This window comes from Homo sapiens, chromosome 19 (genome assembly GCF_000001405.40).
Source record: "Homo sapiens chromosome 19, GRCh38.p14 Primary Assembly".
Lineage (NCBI taxonomy): Eukaryota > Metazoa > Chordata > Mammalia > Primates > Hominidae > Homo > Homo sapiens.
Window position 1 is genome coordinate 38,154,797 of NC_000019.10, and position 19,115 is coordinate 38,173,911.

Genomic DNA, 19,115 nt, shown 5'->3' on the forward strand with positions numbered 1-19,115 from the left:
TGTTGCCCAAGCTGGAGTGCAGTGGCGTAATCTCAGCTCGCTGCAACCTCCGCCTCCCAGGCTCAAGCGATTCTCCTGCCTCAGCCTCCCAAGTACCTGGGACCATAGGCATGAGCCACCACTCCTGGCTAATTTTGTATTTTTAATAGAGACAGGGTTTCAACATGTTGCCAAGGCTGGTCTTGAACTCCTGACCTCAAGTGATCCACCCGCTTCGGCTTCCCAAAGTGCTGAGATTACAGGTGTGAGCCACCACACAGGGCTAGTATGTTTAACTTTATAAGAAGGTGCCAAACTGTTTCCCAAAATGACAAAGCATCTTATACTCTGTCTATCAACATGTGAGAGTTCTAGTTGCTGCATGCCCTCACCAGCCTCTGTGTTTCATTCATTCCGGTGGGCAGGTGGTGCTACCACATTATGGTTTTATTTTATTTATTATTTTTTAAAAACATTTTTTACAGAGACAACGTCTTGCCATGTTGCCCAGGCTGGTCTCAAACTCCTGGGCTCAGGTGATCCTCCTACCTCAGCCTCCCAAAGTGCTGGGATTACAGGCGCGAGCCACCGCACCCGGCTGGCTTTGTAATTTGAATTCTTTATGTCTGTAATTTGCATTTTTCTGAAGACTGCTAAGATTTGAGCATCTTCTCAATGTGTCTTCCCCATTATTAATCATGTTGTGAACTACTCAGATGAATATTTTAAACATAATTCCATAGAACAAACTTGTAGCCCCTTTGAAGTCTGAGAACCAGCAGATGAATGGGCGAGATGGATTCAGAAGGAAGCAAACAAATGAGCAATGTTAGAAAGCAGTGACGTCAGAGTGGGAGGGGTGGAGATGTCCTCTTAGGGAGTGTCTGAGAATTTCCAGGCAGCTGGGAGAGCTGACCCCATCAGCACACCAGCTCCCCCAGATGCTGTGGGGTACGGAAGAGGCTGCATGCCCCAAGATTCGTGGCCTGGAGAATTCCTCAATATCTCAGCCCATGGTTCTCTTAAACCAGAGACAGTGTCACGCCTATAATCCCAGCATTTTGGGAGGCCGAGGCAGGCCGATCTCCTGAGATCAGGAGTTCGAGACCAGCCTGGCCAACTTGGCGAAACCCCTTCTCTACTAAAAATACAAAAATTAACCAGGCGTGATGGTGCATGCCTATAATCCCAGCTACTCAGGAGGCTGAGGCAGGAGAATCGCTTGAACACGGGAGGCAGAAGTTGCAGTAAGCTGAGATCGCGCCGTTCCACTCCAGCCTGGGTAACGAGAGAGAAACTCTGTCTCAAAAAAAACAAAAACCAGAGACAGTGGTTGGGCTTCAGGGAAGCAGGTCGAACTGCTGGGGCCTCAGCCTCTTTGCTGTCTCCAGGGTGTGCGTGGTTTGCTCCTGTCCTCAGCACATTTGATCATGTCACTGCCTGCAATTCTGTCATCTTTGCTCCAAGACAGATAGATTTGGATCCCTTTTTTCCTTTTTCCTCAGCAAGTTCAGAAAAAGAGAAAAGTGTTGCTTGGCTATTTCATTACACACCAAAGTACAAAATGGGGAGGAAGTGTTTCCTGCATACACCATGGGCCCCAAAAAAGAAACTCACCATTGCCCTTCCCTTCCCTCTTCTGTCCCCTGGAGCTTGGCTCCCCTCTCACTTCCTTGGGACCTTGTTATAGTTGACTCCTAAAATTGCCGCCGCCATACACACACGCCCACATGGATCAGGGGAATCTGTGTTTAGAAATCATCATGAGGCTGGGCGCAGTGGCTCACGCCTGTAATCCCAGCACTTTGGGAGGCCGAGGCGGGTGGATCACTTGAGGTCAGGAGCTCAAGACCAGCCTGACCAACATGATGAAACCCTATCTGTACCAAAAATATAAAAATTAGCTGGGTGTGGTGGCATGCACCTGTAATCCCAGCTACTCAGGAGGCTGAGGCAGGAGAATCGCTTGAACCCGGGAGACAGAGGTTGCAGTGAGCTGAGATCACGCATTGCACTCCTGCCTCGGAGACAGAGTGAGACTCCATCTAAAAAATAAAAAAAGAAATCATTGTGAGGTCTACAATGTATTCAAGACTCAGAAAAAAGGCCAGGGACAGTGGCTCACACCTATAATTCTAGCACTGTGGGAGGCTGAGGTGGGAGGATTGCTTGAGGCTAGGAGTTCGAAACCAGCGTGGGCAACCTAGTGGGACTCTGCCTCTACAAAAAATAAAAAAATATAGCTAGGTGTGGCAGTGCGCACCTATGGTCCCAGCTGCTCAAGAGGCTGAGGTGGAAGGATGGCTTGAGCCCGAGAGTTTGAGGCTACAGCAAGCCATGATCCACTACACTCCAGCCTGGCCGACAGAGCAACACCTGTCTCAATAAAATAAAAAAATAAAAAAAAGTTGGTTCACTAAAGATGGCAAGGATCAGGCTTCGCAGCAGATGTGGGGGTTTGCCCAGCCCCGATGGAGCGAGCCATCCTAATAACAGCTGTACAGTTTCGTGGATTGTCCAGTGTGCACACTGCACATGCCTTCATGTTTAGTCGTCTCAGGAACACAACAGGGTGGGCACTGCGACTGCCCCCGGTTAGAGAGGAGGACGATGAGGCACAGAAAGGTTGTCACTTGTCCCAGGTCACTGCTGGTGAGCAGCGTAATCAGGATATGAACGGAGCCCTGTTGGGTCCCAGAACCCCTCCATAAGCTCCACCCACAACCCCTCACCCACAGAGTGTGAGCGTTTCCCAGGCCTCAGAGCACCCAGGTTGGGAGGGTTGCCTCCATGGTCACCGGCTGCCCAGAGACTGTGCCTGGCCCAGGGTTTTAGCATGCTCTCACGCTGTCCCCTGCCCAGCATGTCAAGTTTGGGGTAGGAAGGCCAGCAGGTCACCGAGGGCTGATCCAGAGAACTAGGGGACAGGATCAGGGCCTGCTGAGGGCAGAGCTGGGGCAGGAGAATGCAGGGGCAGCCAGGATGGGGAGGAAGCTGCCCTTTCACCTGTGCATGCATTCAACTGATGATGCCACCAGGCTGGGCGCCAGGGATACCGGGTGAGCCAGGCAGGCATGTTTTCTGCCTTATTGGAGCTGAAAGTCTGGTGGGAGAATTGGACAATTACAGGGACACGATGATGATAAAACATTAACAGTAATGCCGAGTATGAAGTGGAAACTAGGCTGGGCACGGTGTCTCATGTCTGTAATCCCAGCACTTTCGGAGGCCAAGGCAGGCGGATCACTTGAGGTCAGGAGTTCGAGAGCAGCCTGGCCAACATGGTGAAACCCCATCTCTACTAAAAATTAGCCAGGCATAGTGGCGGGCACCTGTAATCCCAGCGGCTCGGGAGGCTGAGGCAGGAGAATCACTTGAACCCGGGAGGTGGAGGTTGCAGTGAGCCGAGATTGTGCCACTGCACTCCAGCCTGGGCAACAGAGCAGTCTCTGTCTCAAAAGAAAAAAAAAGTGGAAACTGTCACAGTGTGCAGAAGGAGATTTACAGGGTTTGGGGGGCATCTCTGAGCAAATCACATTTCAGGTGAGGTTGGAATAATGCAAAGAAGTCAGTGGGGATGAGAACATTCCAGGGAAAGTGAACAGCTAGTTGGAGACCCTGAGGTGGTGGCGATGAGGCCCATGTGGTGAGAACTGAGATCAGGGAGGGGACGGGCAGAGTATGTGGAGCCTCTTGGGCCACGGGGAGGCGGTTGTCCTGTACTGAGAGTGGGACAGGAGCCGCAGGTCTCAGTCTTCTGTGCAGAGGAGGGGCAGGATCTGACTCGGGTGTTCCCAGGAGCCCCTGGCTACAGATTACTGTCAGGTGGGGTGGGAGCAGGACCAGGTGGGGACAGAGGTAGGCGGAGATGCACGATTCTGGATATAGTATTTTAAAGGCAGCGTTAACCAAATTTCTTGATGATGCCTAGTTGTGGGCATGAGAGAAGTCAAGGATGCCACAGGGGGTTTGGCCACAGCAGCTGAAAGGAGAAGCCATGAACTGAGCAGGAAAACTGTGGGAGATGCAGGTTTGGGGGAAGGTACAGCCCTTGGCTTGGCCTTGGCCATGTTCAGTGAGAGGTGCCTGATAGATACCCAAGTGGAGGTGCTGCAGGGCAGCCGAGTTCAAGTGTCAAGTCAGGGGCAGAGGTCAGCCCAGAGGTAGAGCACTGGAGTTGTCCGTTGTCTGTGGTTTTTGAGGCCGGATGTGACTGCCATGGGCTTCGCTCTGTAGAAATGTGGTCTCCCAGAGTGACTGCCCACCTCCCGGGGAGCCAGCACCTTCTGGGTGTATAAAAATGCCCCAAAGAGGAAAACCATCAATGGAGGCAGAGCAGGTGGACAAAGAGGCCAGCCTCCCCACTTTCTCGCATCCATGGTTCCCCAGTGAAAGCCACACACGCGGTGACACCCTCAACTGAGACTAGACCACATCCAGCCAGGCCATTCTCTGCAGTGGCCCTGAGTGCCCTGCCTGGTCACCCGGGCCACCTTCCCCAGCAGGAACATGGGCCCAAGAGTACCCTGGGCTTGCACCGGAGGTGGCAGTGTGATTGCAAGCTCGGGGTCCCACAGGCCTGGTGGGCAGTTCTGAGTTGGGCGTATGCTTGGTGTGTGGCCTCAGCAGTGACCTCCTCCCCCTCAGCCTCAGGTCCCACTCCTGTAGTGGACATCCTAGGTGTCTCTCCTTCCAGGGCAGTTTGTGGGGGGTCCAGTGAGATAATGCCGGCCAAGCCCACGGCCCATCATTAGGAGAACAAGAGCTCCTGCCCATCGGGCACTCACTCTCCACCACTGCCAGCATTGCCGTTGTTGGTGAAGCCAAGGGAGGAGGCAGGGCTTGACAGCACAGGTGCTAAACTAGGCCAATCCGAGCCACACGTCCTGCCTGGCCCTTTCCCACTGTGCGACCTTGGACCAGCTGCTTAACCTCTCCGAGTCTTGTTCCACATCTATCGGAGATGCTCCTGATACCCACTTCACAGTGGTACTGGGAGGACGCAGCAGGGTAATGTATGCAGAGTGCTTACCATAGCGCCTGACACAGAACACACGCTTAATGGGAATTATCATTATGTTAATGATCTTGAATACCATAGTGATCAAAAGTCAGCTTTGGGGTTAAATCACCGGCGTTCAGCTCCTCAGTTAGTGCATTTGTAATTTCCATAGATAATATCTAAATGCCCTCCACTGGGGTTGGTCACTTTTTATGTATGTCTTTATTTATTTTATTTTTTATTTATTTTTTTGAGACGGAGTATTGCTCTGTTGCCCAGGATGGAGTGTAATGGCGCGATCTCGGCTCACTGCAGCCTCCACCTCCCAGGTTCAAGCAATTCTCCTACCTCAGCCTCCCGAGTAGCTGGGACTACAGGCATGTGCCATCACACCCAGCTAATTTTTTTGTATTTTTAGGAGAGACAGGGTTTCACCATGTTGGTCAGGCTGGTCCTGAACTCCTGACCTCAAATGATCCCCCCATCTTGGCCTCCCAAAGTGCTGGGATTACAGGCATGAGCCACCGCACCTGGCCAATTTTTTTTTAAGGTCAGCAAGATACTTGGTCCAGGCATACTGACTAGGCTGGAGAGGTTAAACCAGTTGACATCCAGAGCAGCTGCTACTCTTTTTTTTTTTTTTGAGACGGAGTCTCGCTTAGTCTCCAGGCTGGAGTGCAGGGGTGCGATCTCGGCTCACTGCAGCCTCCTCCTCCCAGGTCCAAGCGATTCTTCTGCCTCAGCCTCCCAAGTAGCTGGGACTACAGGCGTGCACCACCACACCCAGCTATTTTTTGTATTTTTTTTAGTAGAGACGGGGTTTCACCATGTTGGACAGGATGGTCTCAACTCTTGACCTCGTGCTCTGCCCGCCTCGGCCTCCCAAAGTGCTGGGATTACAGGCGTGAGCCACCGCACCAGGCCTGACATCCACAGCAGCCACTACTCTTAAACCCGCTTCACCTTTGGACCAGCAATTCCACCAGTAGCACTCTCTGTCCCACACACAATCCCACGCTTGCTCAAAGTCGCATGTAGAGGGAAGGCCACTGTAGAGGGAAGACTGTTCAAGATAACCTAAATATCCATCAGTAGGAAACTGGCAGGTCATTGATGTACATTCACTTAGTGCAATACTATTAGGGTAACATCACATTCAATTATGTGAAGACCTATGGTGAAGATATAAAGAGAAAAGCAAGTATAGACATATTACAAAGTGAAAAATTAAGTTGTAGGACAGTGTTTATTATTATTCCATTTTTGTTTTTTAAAAAAGTTGTGGGCCGGGCACGGTGGCTCACATCTGTAATCCCAGCACTTTGGGAGGCTGAGATGGGTGGATCACGAGGTCAGGAGTTCGAGACCAGCCTGGCCAAGATGGTGAAACCCCGTCTCTACTAAAAATACAAAAATTAGCCGGGCGTGGTGGCCAGTGCCTGTAATCCCAGCTACTCAGGAGGCTGAGGCAGGAGAATCACTTGACCTGGGAGGCAGAGGTTGCAGTGAGCTGAGATCACACCACTGCGCTCTAGCCTGGGTGACAGAGCAAGACTCCGTCTCAAAAAAAAAAAAAAAAAAAAACTATGTACATACAACCAACAAAGGATTGCTACCTTGCATATGTAAAGAACTCTACTAACCAATAAGATAAAAGATAGTTTGGGCCGGGTGCGGTAGCTCACACCTGTAATCCCAGCACTTTGGGAGGCCGAGGCAGGTGGATCACGAGGTCAGGAGTTCGAGACCAGCCTGGCCAATATGGTGAAACCCTGTCTCCACTAAAAATACAAAACAATTAGCTGGGCATGGTGGTGCCACACCTGTAATCCCAGCTGCTTGAGAGGCTGAGACAGGAGAATCACTTGAACCCTGGGCAGTGGAGGGTGCAGTGAGCTGAGATCATACCACTGCACTCCAGCCTGAGCGACAGAGCGAGACCCCATCTCAAAAAAGACAGTCAAGCTCATAGATAAATGGGTAAAGGAGGCTAGGCATGGTGGCTCACGCCTATCATCCCAGCACTTTGGGAAGCTGAGGCAGGAGGATCACTTGAGGCCAGGAGTTCAAGACCACCCTGGATGCTGTAGCAAGACCTCAAAAAAAAAAAAAAAATTAGCCAAGCATGGTGATGCACACCTGTAGTCCTAGCTACTTGGGAGGCTGAGGCGGGAGGATGGCTTCAACCCAGGAGTTCAAGGTTACAGTGAGCTATGATCATTCCATTGCACTTTAGCCTGGGTGACAGGGAGAGAGGGAAATGGGATATTGCACGGCTTCAGTGAGGCCCTCAGAACGGTGTCTGGCACATAGTATGTGCTGAGATGTATTCTCTGTTACTGAGTGTTGCACTCCAAGGTGTAAATTGATGGGGTCATGCCGTGGGTGAGCAGACAGTCTGGCAAAGGGTCCAGATTCTTCAGGCCCTGGCCTGAGTCACTCCTAACCACTGGTGTGTCTCCTGTTTTCCTACAGAGCCTTTGTGGCATGTGCCTGCCCAGGCCAGGCTCTCAGCCATAGCCGGAAGCAGCGGGAACAAGCACCCGTCCAGGCAGGATGCAGCAGGCAAAGATTCCCCCAACAGGCATTCCAAAGTGAGTCTGGGCCCCACCCTGCCCTACCGGGGGAGCCAGGCCTGCCTGGGTGTGGCCTCTGAGCTTCACACTTGAGCACATCCTCAACCTCTGCCACCTTCCACTCAGCAGAGGGGTTGAATACTTGGTCTGAGTTGGAACCAACCAGGTTCACATTCTGGCTCCAGCCCTCATCAGCCAGGTCATCTAGGGCAAATCCCTTTACCTCCTCGAGCCGCAGTTTCCTCATTGTTCCATCAGTCATGGTAAATCAGCTGCTGTAACAGACAGCCCCGAATCTCAGTGACTTCATACAGTGGAAGTGGATTTCCCTCTCCTGTAACAGCGCAGTGCAGGTATTCAGTGAGCATCTACCCGCCATTCACGTGGTGATTCAGAGCCCAGGCTCCCTCCCTCTTGTGGCTCTGCTGTCCCTCAGAGGTTCCAAGCCCTCTGCTGGGTCCCTGCGTCTTTCCAGCAGTGGAGGTGAGTGGGAGAAAAGATCACATGGGAGGTGTTTTTTAGCCCAGGCCTGGAAATGGCATGAATCGCTTCCATTCCATCACGTGGCCACACCTAGCTGCAAGGGAGGCTGGGAAATGTAGTCTTGCATGGCCCAGGAAGGCTGGGGATGTAGTCCTGTGTGTCCAGGAGGAGGAGATGGTTTGCAGGGGCTCTTGGCAATCTCTTTGTATCCATTCGTTCAGTGGGTGTTTGACAAGCGCTTACAACACTCCAGGCATTGGGACCATGATGATGAAGAGGACAGACCAGCCCTGTCCTCAGGAAGCTGACTTCCCATTTGGGGCAGCAAGCAGTAAGCAGATAAACAGATCTGTTGTATAAGAAAAAGTGCGGGCTGGGCGCGGTGGCTCACGCCTATAATCCCAGTGCTTTAGGAGGCCAAGGCGGACGGATCACCTGCAGTCAGGAGTTCGAGACCAGCCTGGGCAACCTAGTAAAACCCCGTCTCTACTAAAAATACAAAAATTAGCCAGGCGTGGTGGCAGGAACCTATAATCCCAGCTCCTTGGGAGGCTGAGGCACAAGAATTGCTTGAACCCAGGAGGCAGAGGCTGCAGTAAGCCAAGATTGCACCACTGCACTCCAGCCTGAGCGACAGAGTGAGACTCTATCTCAAAAAAAAAAAAAAAAAAAAAACAGTCCAGGGGAGAGAGTGACAAGCACTGCAGCTCAAGGATGATGTGGTCAGAGAGGGCCTTTGAGGGGGTGACCTTTGAGCGGAAACCTTGAGTGAAGGAAGGGGGAGGCCCACGAAGATCTCTCAGGGAAGAGTATTGCAGGCAGAGGGAGCAGCAGGCGCAGAGGCCCTGACGGGGAGTGCCCAGTATGTTCCGAGAATAGCAAGGGGGCCACCATGGCCACAGCAACGTGATCGGGAGGGAGGGGAGATGAAGTTGGAGACCGGGACCCAAGCATCAAAGCCCCATGGGCCATGCTGGGAACTCTCACTTGTGCCTGGAGTAAGATGGAGCCACAGGTGGGGGTCATCATCTAACTCAGGTGTTCTCAGCCTTCTGCTGGCTGCGTGTGGGGAATAAACAGGGGGATGAGGGTGCAGAGAGACCAGGGAGGAGGCTGCTGCACTGGCCCCAGGGGGAGGACAGGACAGGCATGGACAGGACCACGCGGAGCCGTGGAGCAGGAAGTGACAGGTCCCGGATCTGTGTTGAGGACGCGGGCAGCAGGGTTTGCTAGTGGGCTGGACATGAGTGAGAGCAAAAGCGGGGTCAAGGTGAGTCCACGGCTCTTGGCAGGGGCAGCTGAAAGCATGGCCGGCGTCATTGAGATGAGGAAGACGCTGCCGAACTCAGTCTTAGATTCGCTGAGTCTGAGATGTGGGAAGCATGTTCTGTGCCTGATGTCATTTGTTCCTCTGAGCAGCCCCATGAGGCAGGCTTACTATCACCCTCCATTTTACAGATGTGGAAACTGAGGCTGAGGGAAGGTAAATCACTTGCCCAAGGTAACACGGCCAGTAGATGAGAAGCCAGGATTTGAAGCTGTCTGGTCCCAGGGTTCAGGCCCAGGCAGAGGGAGGACCCGGCAAGGGAAGATGCGCCCCTGCCCTGGAGTCTGGGAATGACACGCTTCTCTTGCCTCTCAGGGAGAACCTCAATACTCAAGTCATTCCAGCAGCAACACCCTCTCCAGCAACGCATCCAGCAGCCACAGCGACGACCGCTGGTTCGACCCCCTGGACCCCCTGGAGCCAGAGCAAGACCCCCTCTCCAAGGGTGGCTCTAGTGACAGCGGCATCGACACCACCCTCTACACCTCCAGCCCTAGCTGCATGTCCCTGGCCAAGGCTCCACGGCCCGCCAAGCCACACAAGCCCCCTGGAAGTATGGGCCTTTGTGGCGGGGGTCGCGAGGCCGCTGGGAGGTCCCACCACGCAGACAGGCGGCGGGAGGTCTCCCCTGCCCCCGCAGTTGCCGGCCAAAGCAAGGGCTACCGACCGAAGCTGTACTCCTCCGGCTCCAGCACCCCCACGGGACTGGCGGGGGGCAGCCGAGACCCACCGAGGCAGCCCAGGTAAGCTGTTGCACCTAGTCTGGGTTCTAACCACCTTCCACTTCGCCAGTTCTACTTTTACGGTCCTGATGGTGGGGTTCTCCTCCCCAGAAACACACTCACGGATGAATGCGCCTAGTCATTGGTTTGCTGACAGAATTGAGGAGCTCGTGGATCTCTGCCTTATTGCCCATCCATCAGCATTCAGGGACCCCAGGTGGAGGGAAAGAAACCCCTGGCCTTCTGTCTCTGTTTTCATCTGTCTCTGGTTCTCTCTGACCCTCTGTCTCTTTTTTCTTTGCTCTCTGCTGATACCAAAAGTTTTTATGCTTTCTAAAGGGTCACAGACTGTATCTGATAGAGTGTATTTGGCTGGAGGCAATAGGAAACCTGACCCTCTGTGGCTTAAACAAATAGAGGTGTAACAAACAGTCCCCTAACATGAAGTCCAGAGAAGGCAGAGCCAGGCTAGTGCTGTGGCTTGTGGAGAGCCTCAAGGATTGGCACTCTGTGTCTCCCTGCTCGGCATCTTTACCATGCTGGCTCATGTCTCACTTGCCTTGAGATGGAGCTGTGCTGCCTGGTGAGTGGCAGTTGGGGACAGAGAAGAGGGGAAAGTTGGAAGCCTCTGAGCACCTTTCCCTTCCTATGGAGAAAGCAAACACTTTCCCAGAACCCCTTTCAGCAGCTGGCATCACGGGGCCATCCCAGCTACAAGGAGGTCTGGAAAGTTGTAGTTTGGTCTTCCAGGCTCTACCGTATACGGCGATGGTCCCCACAGAAGCCCTCAAAGGCTTGTTCAGCCCAGCTGCTGGCCCCCACCCAGAGTTTCTGATTCAATAGGTCGGAGCGGGAGACCTGAGAACGTGCATTGGTGTTTTTTTGTTTGTTTTTTAGACGGAGTTTCGTTCTATTCACCAGGCCGGAGTGCAGTGGTGCGGTCTCAGGCTCACTGCACCCTCTACCTCCCAGGTTCAAGTGATTCTCCTGCCTCGGCCTCCCGAGTAGCTGAGATTACAGGTGCCCACCACCATGCCCAACTAATTTTTGTATTTTTAGTAGAGACAGGGTTTCACCATGTCGGCCAGGCTGGTCTCAAACTCCTGACCTAAAGGGATCCTCCCACCTCAGCCTCCCAAATTGCTGGGATCACAGGTGTGAGCCACCATGCCCGGCTGAGAATATGCATTAAGTTCTCAGTAAATGCTGATGCTGCTGGTCCCAGGACCACACTTTGAGAGCCACTGGTAGAGAGGCAGACGGGAGTAAGAGAGAAAGAGTAGGCATTGGCTGGAAACGGTGGCTCATACCTGTAATCCCAGCACTTTGGGAGGCCAAGGCGGGTGGATCATGAGGTCAGGAGATCCAGACTGTCCTGGCCAACATGGTGAAACCCCGTCTCTACTTAAATACAAAAAAAAATTAGCCAGGCATGGTAGTGGGCGCCTGTAGTCCCAGCTACTTGGGAGGCTGAGGCAGGAGAATCGCTTGAACCCAGGAGGCAGAGGTTGCAGTGAGCCGAGATCGTGCCACTGCACTCCACCCAGGCGACAGAGCAAGACTCTGTCTCAAAAAAAAAAAAAAGAAAAGAAAAGAAAAGCAGGAATTGGCGAGCCAGCAGCCTAGAGTCCCGACCACACACACTGACGTTCGGATGGAGGCAATGAGCCACCTTCCAGAAAAGGGCACAGAGATGGAAAGAGTATTCTACACAGACACAGAGCTCAGCCTCATCCTTGGACCCCCTTAGGGTTCTGTGACCCCAGCAGGGCTTGCTGTGCTGTAGTGTCCAGTGCCAGCCCCTGAGTCCACAGCCCCACATCCCTTCCTGACCATGCCTGGGGTGGGCTAGCCTGAGTCCCCGATAGCCATCAGGGCTCAGAACCTGGTTGGCGCAGGGATCTTCCTCTCCTGTGGCGCCCTAAAGCCTTTTCCAGTCCTCAAACCCCAGCCTCTCTCCACACAGGACACCCACACTCAGGCAGCCAACTCAGACTTCTGACCACAGTCCACAGTAGAATTGTGTCCATCTATACAGAAATATCTATGTTAAAAAAAAAAAAAGGTGGCTTTGAGCAGTGGCTCACGCCTGTAATCCCAGCACTTTGGGAGGCCAAGGCAAGCGGATCACAAGGTCAAGAGCTCGAGACCGTCCTGGCCAACATGGTGAAACCCCATCTCTACTGAAAATACAAAAATTAGCTGGGCGTGGTGGTGGGCACCTGTAGTCCCAGATACTCGGGAGGCTGAGGCAGGAGAATCGCTTGAATCTGGGAGGCAGAGGTTGCAGTGAGCCAAGATCATGCCACTGCACTCCAGCCTGGCAACAGAGCGAGATTCCATCTCAAAAAAAAAAAAAAAAAGGTGAAGCAGTGGTTTCCAAAATAATTCTTAACCTGTGTGTGATATACTTTGATCCAGTCTACTCTATTTAAAAACTTTTAATGCTGATCAATCCCCACTCAGATGATTTCATGGCTTACAGTGTTCTCTGACAGATATTTGAAAACCACTGTGTTTGAGTGATTGTAGTGTCAGCACTTCCCCGGGCACACTGTGATCCAAGGGTCTCCTTGAGTCAAAGAGCCAGGAGAAGGGCTGAAGGAGGAAAGAGGAGACAGACAGAGAGAGACACTGTCTGAGTGTTTTAGACCTCTCAGTTCATCTCCCTAGACAAGTGGCTGTTTGTTTTTTAGAAACAGGGTCCTGCTCTATTGCCCAGGCTGGGGTGCAGTAGTACGACCATAGCTCACGATAGCCTCGAACTCCTCAGCTCAAGTGTTCCTCCCACCTCAGCCCCCTAAGTAGCTGAGACTACAGGTGTGTGCCCCCATGCCCAGCTAATTTTTTAAGTTTGTTAGTAGAGAAGGGGTCTCACTGTGTTGCCAAGGTTGGTCTCGAACTCCTGGGCTCAAGCGATGCTCCCATCTCGGCCTCTCAAAATGCTGGGATTACAGGCATGAGCTACCACACCTGGTGACGAGTACCTCTTAATCTTTTGAACATGTGGACTCTTTTGAATGGCTCTTTCATTCATTTATTCATTCACTCCATTCATAAGTATTTCTTAGGGATTTGCTCGGTCCCAGACACTGTGCTGGGAGCTGAGAGAAATCAGGAGCACATTTGGATGAGGCCTCCCCACCGCCCACTGTCAAATGAGGGAAGCAGATGAGAATCAGATAATCACTGAGACAAATGAATACGTGTGCGCTCCCAGGCCGGGCACGGTGGCTCACGCCTATAAACCCAGCACTTTGGGAGGCCGAGGTGGGCGGATCACCTGAGGTCAGGAGTTCGAGACCAGCCTGGCCCACATGATGAAACTCCGTCTCTACTAAAAATACAAAAATTAGCCAGGCATGGTGGTGGGCGCCTGTAATCCCAGCTACTCGGGAGGCTGAGGCAGGAGAATCCCTTGAACCTGGGAGGTGGAGGGTACAGTGAGCCAAGACTGCACCACTACACTCCAGCCTGGGGAATAGAATGAGACTCCATCTTAAAAAACAAAAACAAAAACAAAACAAAACAAAAATACATTGCACTCCAGCCTGGGTGACGGAGTGAAACTCTGTCTCAAAAAAATAAAAAATAAAAATAAAACACTGTGGAAAAAAAAACAAAAACCTGTGCCACGAAGAGGGACATGAAGCCAAGAGAGTCTATACCAGGGGCCTCAGGTCTCGATTGCAGTAGCCCCCATTCCAGGCATGGGACCACCACCTTAGCGAACCCGAACAACTGGGAGGATTTGAAATCCGAGACATAAAGACAGCCAGGCCTGGAGTAGACTGTGGCTGAGATGGGAGGGTGGGTATGAAATAACCCTGTGTCTAAGGAAAGGATCTGCTGAACCCAGAAATGAAGGCAATGAAATGGGAGAGGAGCCCGCTGCAGAAGAGGGCCCTGCGGTTGGGAGCTTTAATTTGCATACAGACAATTGATGCTAATTGCAAATCATTCTTATCTGCTCATTAAAGCTGCTTCCTGAAGTTTTCTCCTAGGCAACCAGGCTTGAGTGTGGCACAGCATTTCCCAAAATGGGGTGCTTGAGGTGATTTGGGTGGTGCGGGGAGGAAAATGTTTTATTTTAAATGGATATATGCTTGCTTTCATGAGTATTAGGAAAAAGAGTTTGCAACTCACCCCCTGATTTTACAGATACCACCTTGGACAAGTTAAGGAGAAAATAAAATGAGTTGATTTAAAAAAACATATCCAGGCCCGGCGCAGTGGCTCACGCCTGTAATCCCAACACTCTGGGAGGCCAAGGCAGGTGGATCACTTGAGGCCAGGAGTTCGAGACCAGCCTGACCAACACGGTGAAACCCCATCTCTACTGAAAATACAAAAATTAGCCAGGCGTGGTGGTGCACGCCTGTGGTCCCAGCTATTCTGGAGGCTGAGGCGGGAGAATCGCTTGAGTCTGGGAGGCAGAGGTTGCAGTGAGCCGAGATCACGCCATTGCACTTCAGCCTTGGCAACAGAGTGAGACTCAGTCTCAAAAAAAAAAAAATCCATGTGGATAAGAGTGTGGCCTTTAGTGTCAGCCCACCTGCATTCAATCCCTCCCTCAGCGACTTCTTGGCTGTGTACCCCCAGGCAAGTAACTGAACCTCTCTGGGCCTCAGTTTCCTCATCTGTGAAACTAGGGATAAACCACATACCTACATCATAGGGATGTGGTAAAGATTGAATGTACCCTTAGAACAGTGCTTTGACTTGAAGACTGCCTGTCAGAATCATGGGGTATGAGGGTGTATTTGAAAAACACACAGAAATGAGGCCTTGCCTCAAATTCACGAAATCAGAATATCCCCCCTGGTCCAAGACCTGTTACAGGCAGTGCTGGGGACACAGCGGTGACTGGGGGAGCCCCAGTCCTGCCTGACTGACGCATTCCCAGACAGAGACAGCCCAGAGGGGTCAGGTCAAGATGGGCGAGGCCCAGGCAGAGGGGTCAGGGTCAGGGTGGGGGGCCCAGGCTAAGGGGTCAGGGCTGGGATACAAGGCAGCTGCGAAGAGGGGTCAGGGTAAGATGAGGGGCCCAGGTAGAGGGGCCAGGGTGAGATGAGGGGCCCAGGTAGAGGGGCCAGGGTAAGATGAGGGGCCCAGGTAGAGGGGCCAGGGTGGGCTGGAGGGGGGCCAGGCAGAGGGGTTGGGGCCATGATGGAGGGGTACAGGGATGTGAGAGCCCAAAGGGGGCCCCCCTAACCCAGTTGTGAGAGGGGCCAGCCCAGTTGTGGGAGGGGCTTTCCTGGAGAAAGAGTCTGAGCTAGCCAGGGAAGTCAGGAGGGAAAAGCAGTCCAGACAGAGAATGAGACGGACTCCCACTGTCCATCTCACCCCACCTCACTCCATTGGCCTCCCACAGTCTTCCCATTTCAGTAGGCACAAGTTCCCTGGATGGTCACAGAGCCACCTGCTTGGGGCCAGACCTTGGTTCAAGTGGCCACACGTGCCTCTGCCTCCCATGGCGGCCACACTGCACTGTGCACCGGGCAGCCCAGCAGCCCCCCTCATGTGCTGTCGTCAGAACGTGCCCCTGGGCTGGAGTGACAGCCTGCTCCCCAGCCTCTGCTCCTGGAAGGCAGGCACCTTTGAACAGGCCCAGCATGAGCACTCATTGACTGCCCTATGTCTACCTCCACAGCACTCTGTGGCATAGAACTTGGTATTTATTCACACAGCGAGCGCCTGCTGTGCACCGGGGCCTCTGCAGGGAGCTGGAACAGGCAGACCAGATCCCCACCGTCCTGGTACGGACGGAGGCCCATGGGAAACAGCTAGTGAATAATGCCAAAAGTCATGAATGAATTGTGCCAGGGGACAGCCTGCAGAGACGGGTGGGGTCTGAGGGTGGATGGGATGCAGAGCTGGAGGAGGTGTCTAATCTAGCCTAGGGCCAGCGATAATGTTCCTGAACGAGGGTCACATCTGCCAAGGATGAGGGGGACAGGGAGGAGGGAGCGGGTGAAGGAGGAGAGGGGTTCAGTGGGGCTGGAGAGACATTCATCTGGGATGCAGTTATACAGGTATTTGCTCTGTTTTTGAAATTGTGTGTATATATGCAACATATATATAGACACACACACTTTCTGGGCCTCAATATATGTTGTGAACCTCAGTATGTATATATACAACTATGTATATATACACACATATGTTTTTTTTTAAGTCTGTTGAATTTCTCATTCAGAAGAATGTATATATGACTATTTACCATTAACAAAAAAACAGAAGGGAAAGATGAGGCGTGGAGAAAGTATGTCTATGAATTAGAGTTGCGTGTGCAAAGTCCCTGTGGTAGGGAGGAGGGTGGTATCGTCAGGCCACTGAACACAGGCCCTTGGGCTCAAGTATAGAAATTGTGGCTGGGCACAGTGGCTCATGCCTGTAATCCCAGCACTTTGGGAGGCCAAGGCAGGAGCATCACTTGAGGCCAGGAGTTTGAGACCAGCCTGGGCAACATAGACCCATCTCTATCCCCCTACCAAAACTTTTTTTTTTTTTTTTTTTTTTTTGAGATGGAGTTTCGCTCTTGTTGCCCAGGCTGCAGTGCAATGGCACAGTCTCAGCTCACTGCAACCTCTGCCTCCCAGGTTCAAGCGATTCTCCTGCCTCAGCCTCCCGAGTAGCTGGGATTACAGGCACCTGCCACCACGCCCGGCTAATTTTTGTATTTATAGTAGAGACAGGGTTTCACCATGTTGGCCAGGCTGGTCTCGAACTCCTGACCTCGGGTGACCCACCCACCTTGGCCTCCCAAAGTGCTGAGATTACAGGCATGAGCCACCATGCCTGGCCAAAAATTTTTTTAAATTAGCTGGGTATGGCAGTAGGCTCCTGCAGTCCCAGCTACTCAAGAGGCTGAGGTGAGAGGATCACTTGAGCCTGGAAGTTCGAGACAGCAGTGTGCTGTGATTGCACCACTGCACTCCATCCTGGGTAACTGATTGACACCCTGTTGATCAATCAATCACTCCATCCTGGGTGACAGAGCAAGGCCCTGGAGGTAGGTAGGTAGGTAGGCAGGTAGGGCAGCCAATGGGAGGTTGGGGAAATCAGCAGTGGCCAGAACATTCAGGGCCCTACCAGCTCCATTATGGAGTTTGGATCTCATCTTAAGAGCAGCCAGGGTAATGCGGGTGGATTTGTGTTCCAAAATATGGTGCTGGCAGCGAGACAGGAGGCAAAGTCTCTGAGGGGGCTGAGGCTTGGATCTGCATGGGAGGACGTGGGCCTGAGCTGGAGGACAAAGCAACTGTGGATGTGGCAGCAGGCGGCATTGCCAGGAAGTAAGCTGGGAGGGAGATGCAGGCCCAGGGCAGAGCCAGCAAGCCATGTGAGAGTCCAGGGTGGCTGCCACGTGTCTGGAGGCTGCCGTGGCCTGGGAGCACCTGAGGTGCTTGTGAGAAGAGGAGGCAGAGTGGGGCAGCCAGCGGGGACTGATTCTTCCAGTCACTGACCTTTGCAGCCCCTACTCTGTGCCAGGTGTCGCAGCATCCTTCCCTTATGGAGCTGTCATTCTCCTGGAGACAGGACAAGACAGACAGACAGCCGAACCACCGTGGAGTGTGCCAGGAGGTGATAAGTGCTGGGGAGGAAAGGCAAAAACAGCGGGTCTCTGGGAAGGCTTCTCAGGAGGTGATGCGTTGTAGGAAGCCAGGGTGAGATCCAGGCAGTGGAAACAGTAGATGACTAGACCCTGAGGGTGAACTTACTCTCAATGCTCCAGAAATGGTCAGGTGGCCAGAGGGGCTGAAGCAGGTGGGATGGGGGGAGAGTGGCAGGAGGTCAGCATAGTGAGGTGGCAGGAGCCTGGTTCTAGCGGGCATATTGACCAAAGTCAGATGCTGGGATTTGGTTCCAAGGGACATGGGAGCCATGGGAGGCATTTGAGCACATCATCTGACTTAATGTTTTTAAAAAGATTACTGTGGGCTGGACGTAGTGGCTCACACCTGTAATCCCAGCACTTTGGGAGGCTAAGGCAGGTGGATCACTTGAGCCCAGGAGTTCAAGACCAGCCTGAGCAACATGGCAAAACCCCATGTCTACAAAAAATTAGCTGGGTGTGGTGGCACACGCATGTTGTCCCAGCTACTTGGGAGGCTGAGGTTGGAGGATTGCTTGACCCCGGGAAGTGGAGGCTGCAGTGAGCCGAGATCACATCACTGCACTCAGCCTGGGTGACAAAGTAAGACCTTATCTCAAAAAATGATAATAATAAAATGTAAAAATGAAAAAATAGAAAAGATCACTGTGGGCTACTCTGGAGAGGACGGACTATCTTGGGCAGGGGGAGGATGGTGGTCAGCATTCAAAGGCTGCCAGGAGAGGGATGGGTCCTGACACGCCCAAGCGGGGAGCCCCCTACCCTCCCTTCCCCGGGCTGCGGCCCTTGCCGTGGAAGCAGGTGCAGCCTGTAGCAGCTTGTGCCCATCGATGACCTCACAGATGCTCCCTCCAGACATTCGTCATGGGAGCCCAGCTGCCAGGCATGCTGCCAGGCGCCAGTGCCTGCCATGGGCACCGCAGTGGGCTGAGTGATCCTGGGCGGGCAGCCACCTGGCCCTCGCCCTCTCCTGAGGCAGCACGCACTCCAGAGCTTTCTGGGCTTCCAGAGCAATTTGTCAGAGCTGTTAGGAGCAGTCATAGGCTCTCGGCTCCACATGGAGCTGACGCAGCCGGGCGTTCCCAGGCAGGCAGGAAGCACGTGGCCTTGCTTCCCCAGGCTGCGCCAGGAGTCCCTGGGATGCCCTTCTGGGGACACAGCCCTGAAAGGTAATCTGAGGGCCTGAAGATCCACCGGGGCCCACCCTGCCTGTGAGTGTTGGGAGGCTGGGGTCACCTGAGACAGAGACCTCCTCGGAGAGTCACAGCTTGGGAAGAGGAAGCGAGGCCGTCTCCTGGAACTCAAGGGAGTGCGGAAGCCAGGCAGAGATCTGCAGGGCGGGGAGCAGTGCAAAGGTCCCAAGGTAGCAGTGTTTCTGATGTGTTTGAGGAACAGCTTCCGCATGGCT

The 19,115-nt window shown here is 53.0% G+C and overlaps 1 protein-coding gene and 1 non-coding gene across 8 annotated transcripts in view, besides 3 other annotated features; both read left to right on the forward strand.

Annotated features, from left to right (window-relative positions):
* The window catches only part of SIPA1L3 (signal induced proliferation associated 1 like 3), a 301,162-nt gene that overhangs the window by 247,589 nt on the left and 34,458 nt on the right, over window positions 1-19,115 (forward strand). For all 7 annotated transcript variants that reach the window (XM_047438486.1, NM_015073.3, XM_017026518.3 and 4 more), the window contains 2 exons: window positions 7,457-7,575; window positions 9,683-10,110. In XM_047438486.1, the coding sequence (XP_047294442.1) occupies window positions 7,457-7,575; window positions 9,683-10,110 (547 nt within the window). The remainder of the gene's footprint in view (window positions 1-7,456; window positions 7,576-9,682; window positions 10,111-19,115) is intronic.
* Window positions 2,932-3,110: a silencer, noted in NCBI's record as "fragment chr19:38648368-38648546 (GRCh37/hg19 assembly coordinates)". NCBI's record gives its function as "represses an EF-1alpha promoter that drives an FKBP-Casp9 reporter gene in an ReSE screen in phorbol 12-myristate 13-acetate-treated (for megakaryocytic differentiation) K562 erythroleukemia cells {active_cell/tissue: K562(+PMA)}" and the evidence as "EXISTENCE:reporter gene assay evidence [ECO:0000049][PMID:32094911]".
* SNORD152 (small nucleolar RNA, C/D box 152) lies at window positions 8,300-8,353 on the forward strand. The gene has a single exon (NR_145800.1). It is a non-coding gene; the product is annotated as a small nucleolar RNA, C/D box 152 (small nucleolar RNA).
* Window positions 11,502-11,704: a silencer, noted in NCBI's record as "fragment chr19:38656938-38657140 (GRCh37/hg19 assembly coordinates)". NCBI's record gives its function as "represses an EF-1alpha promoter that drives an FKBP-Casp9 reporter gene in an ReSE screen in K562 erythroleukemia cells {active_cell/tissue: K562}" and the evidence as "EXISTENCE:reporter gene assay evidence [ECO:0000049][PMID:32094911]".
* Window positions 15,644-16,205: an enhancer, noted in NCBI's record as "H3K27ac-H3K4me1 hESC enhancer chr19:38661080-38661641 (GRCh37/hg19 assembly coordinates)". NCBI's record gives its function as "activates a minimal SCP1, AML or CMV promoter by ChIP-STARR-seq in naive H9 embryonic stem cells {active_cell/tissue: H9 hESC(naive)}" and the evidence as "EXISTENCE:reporter gene assay evidence [ECO:0000049][PMID:30033119]".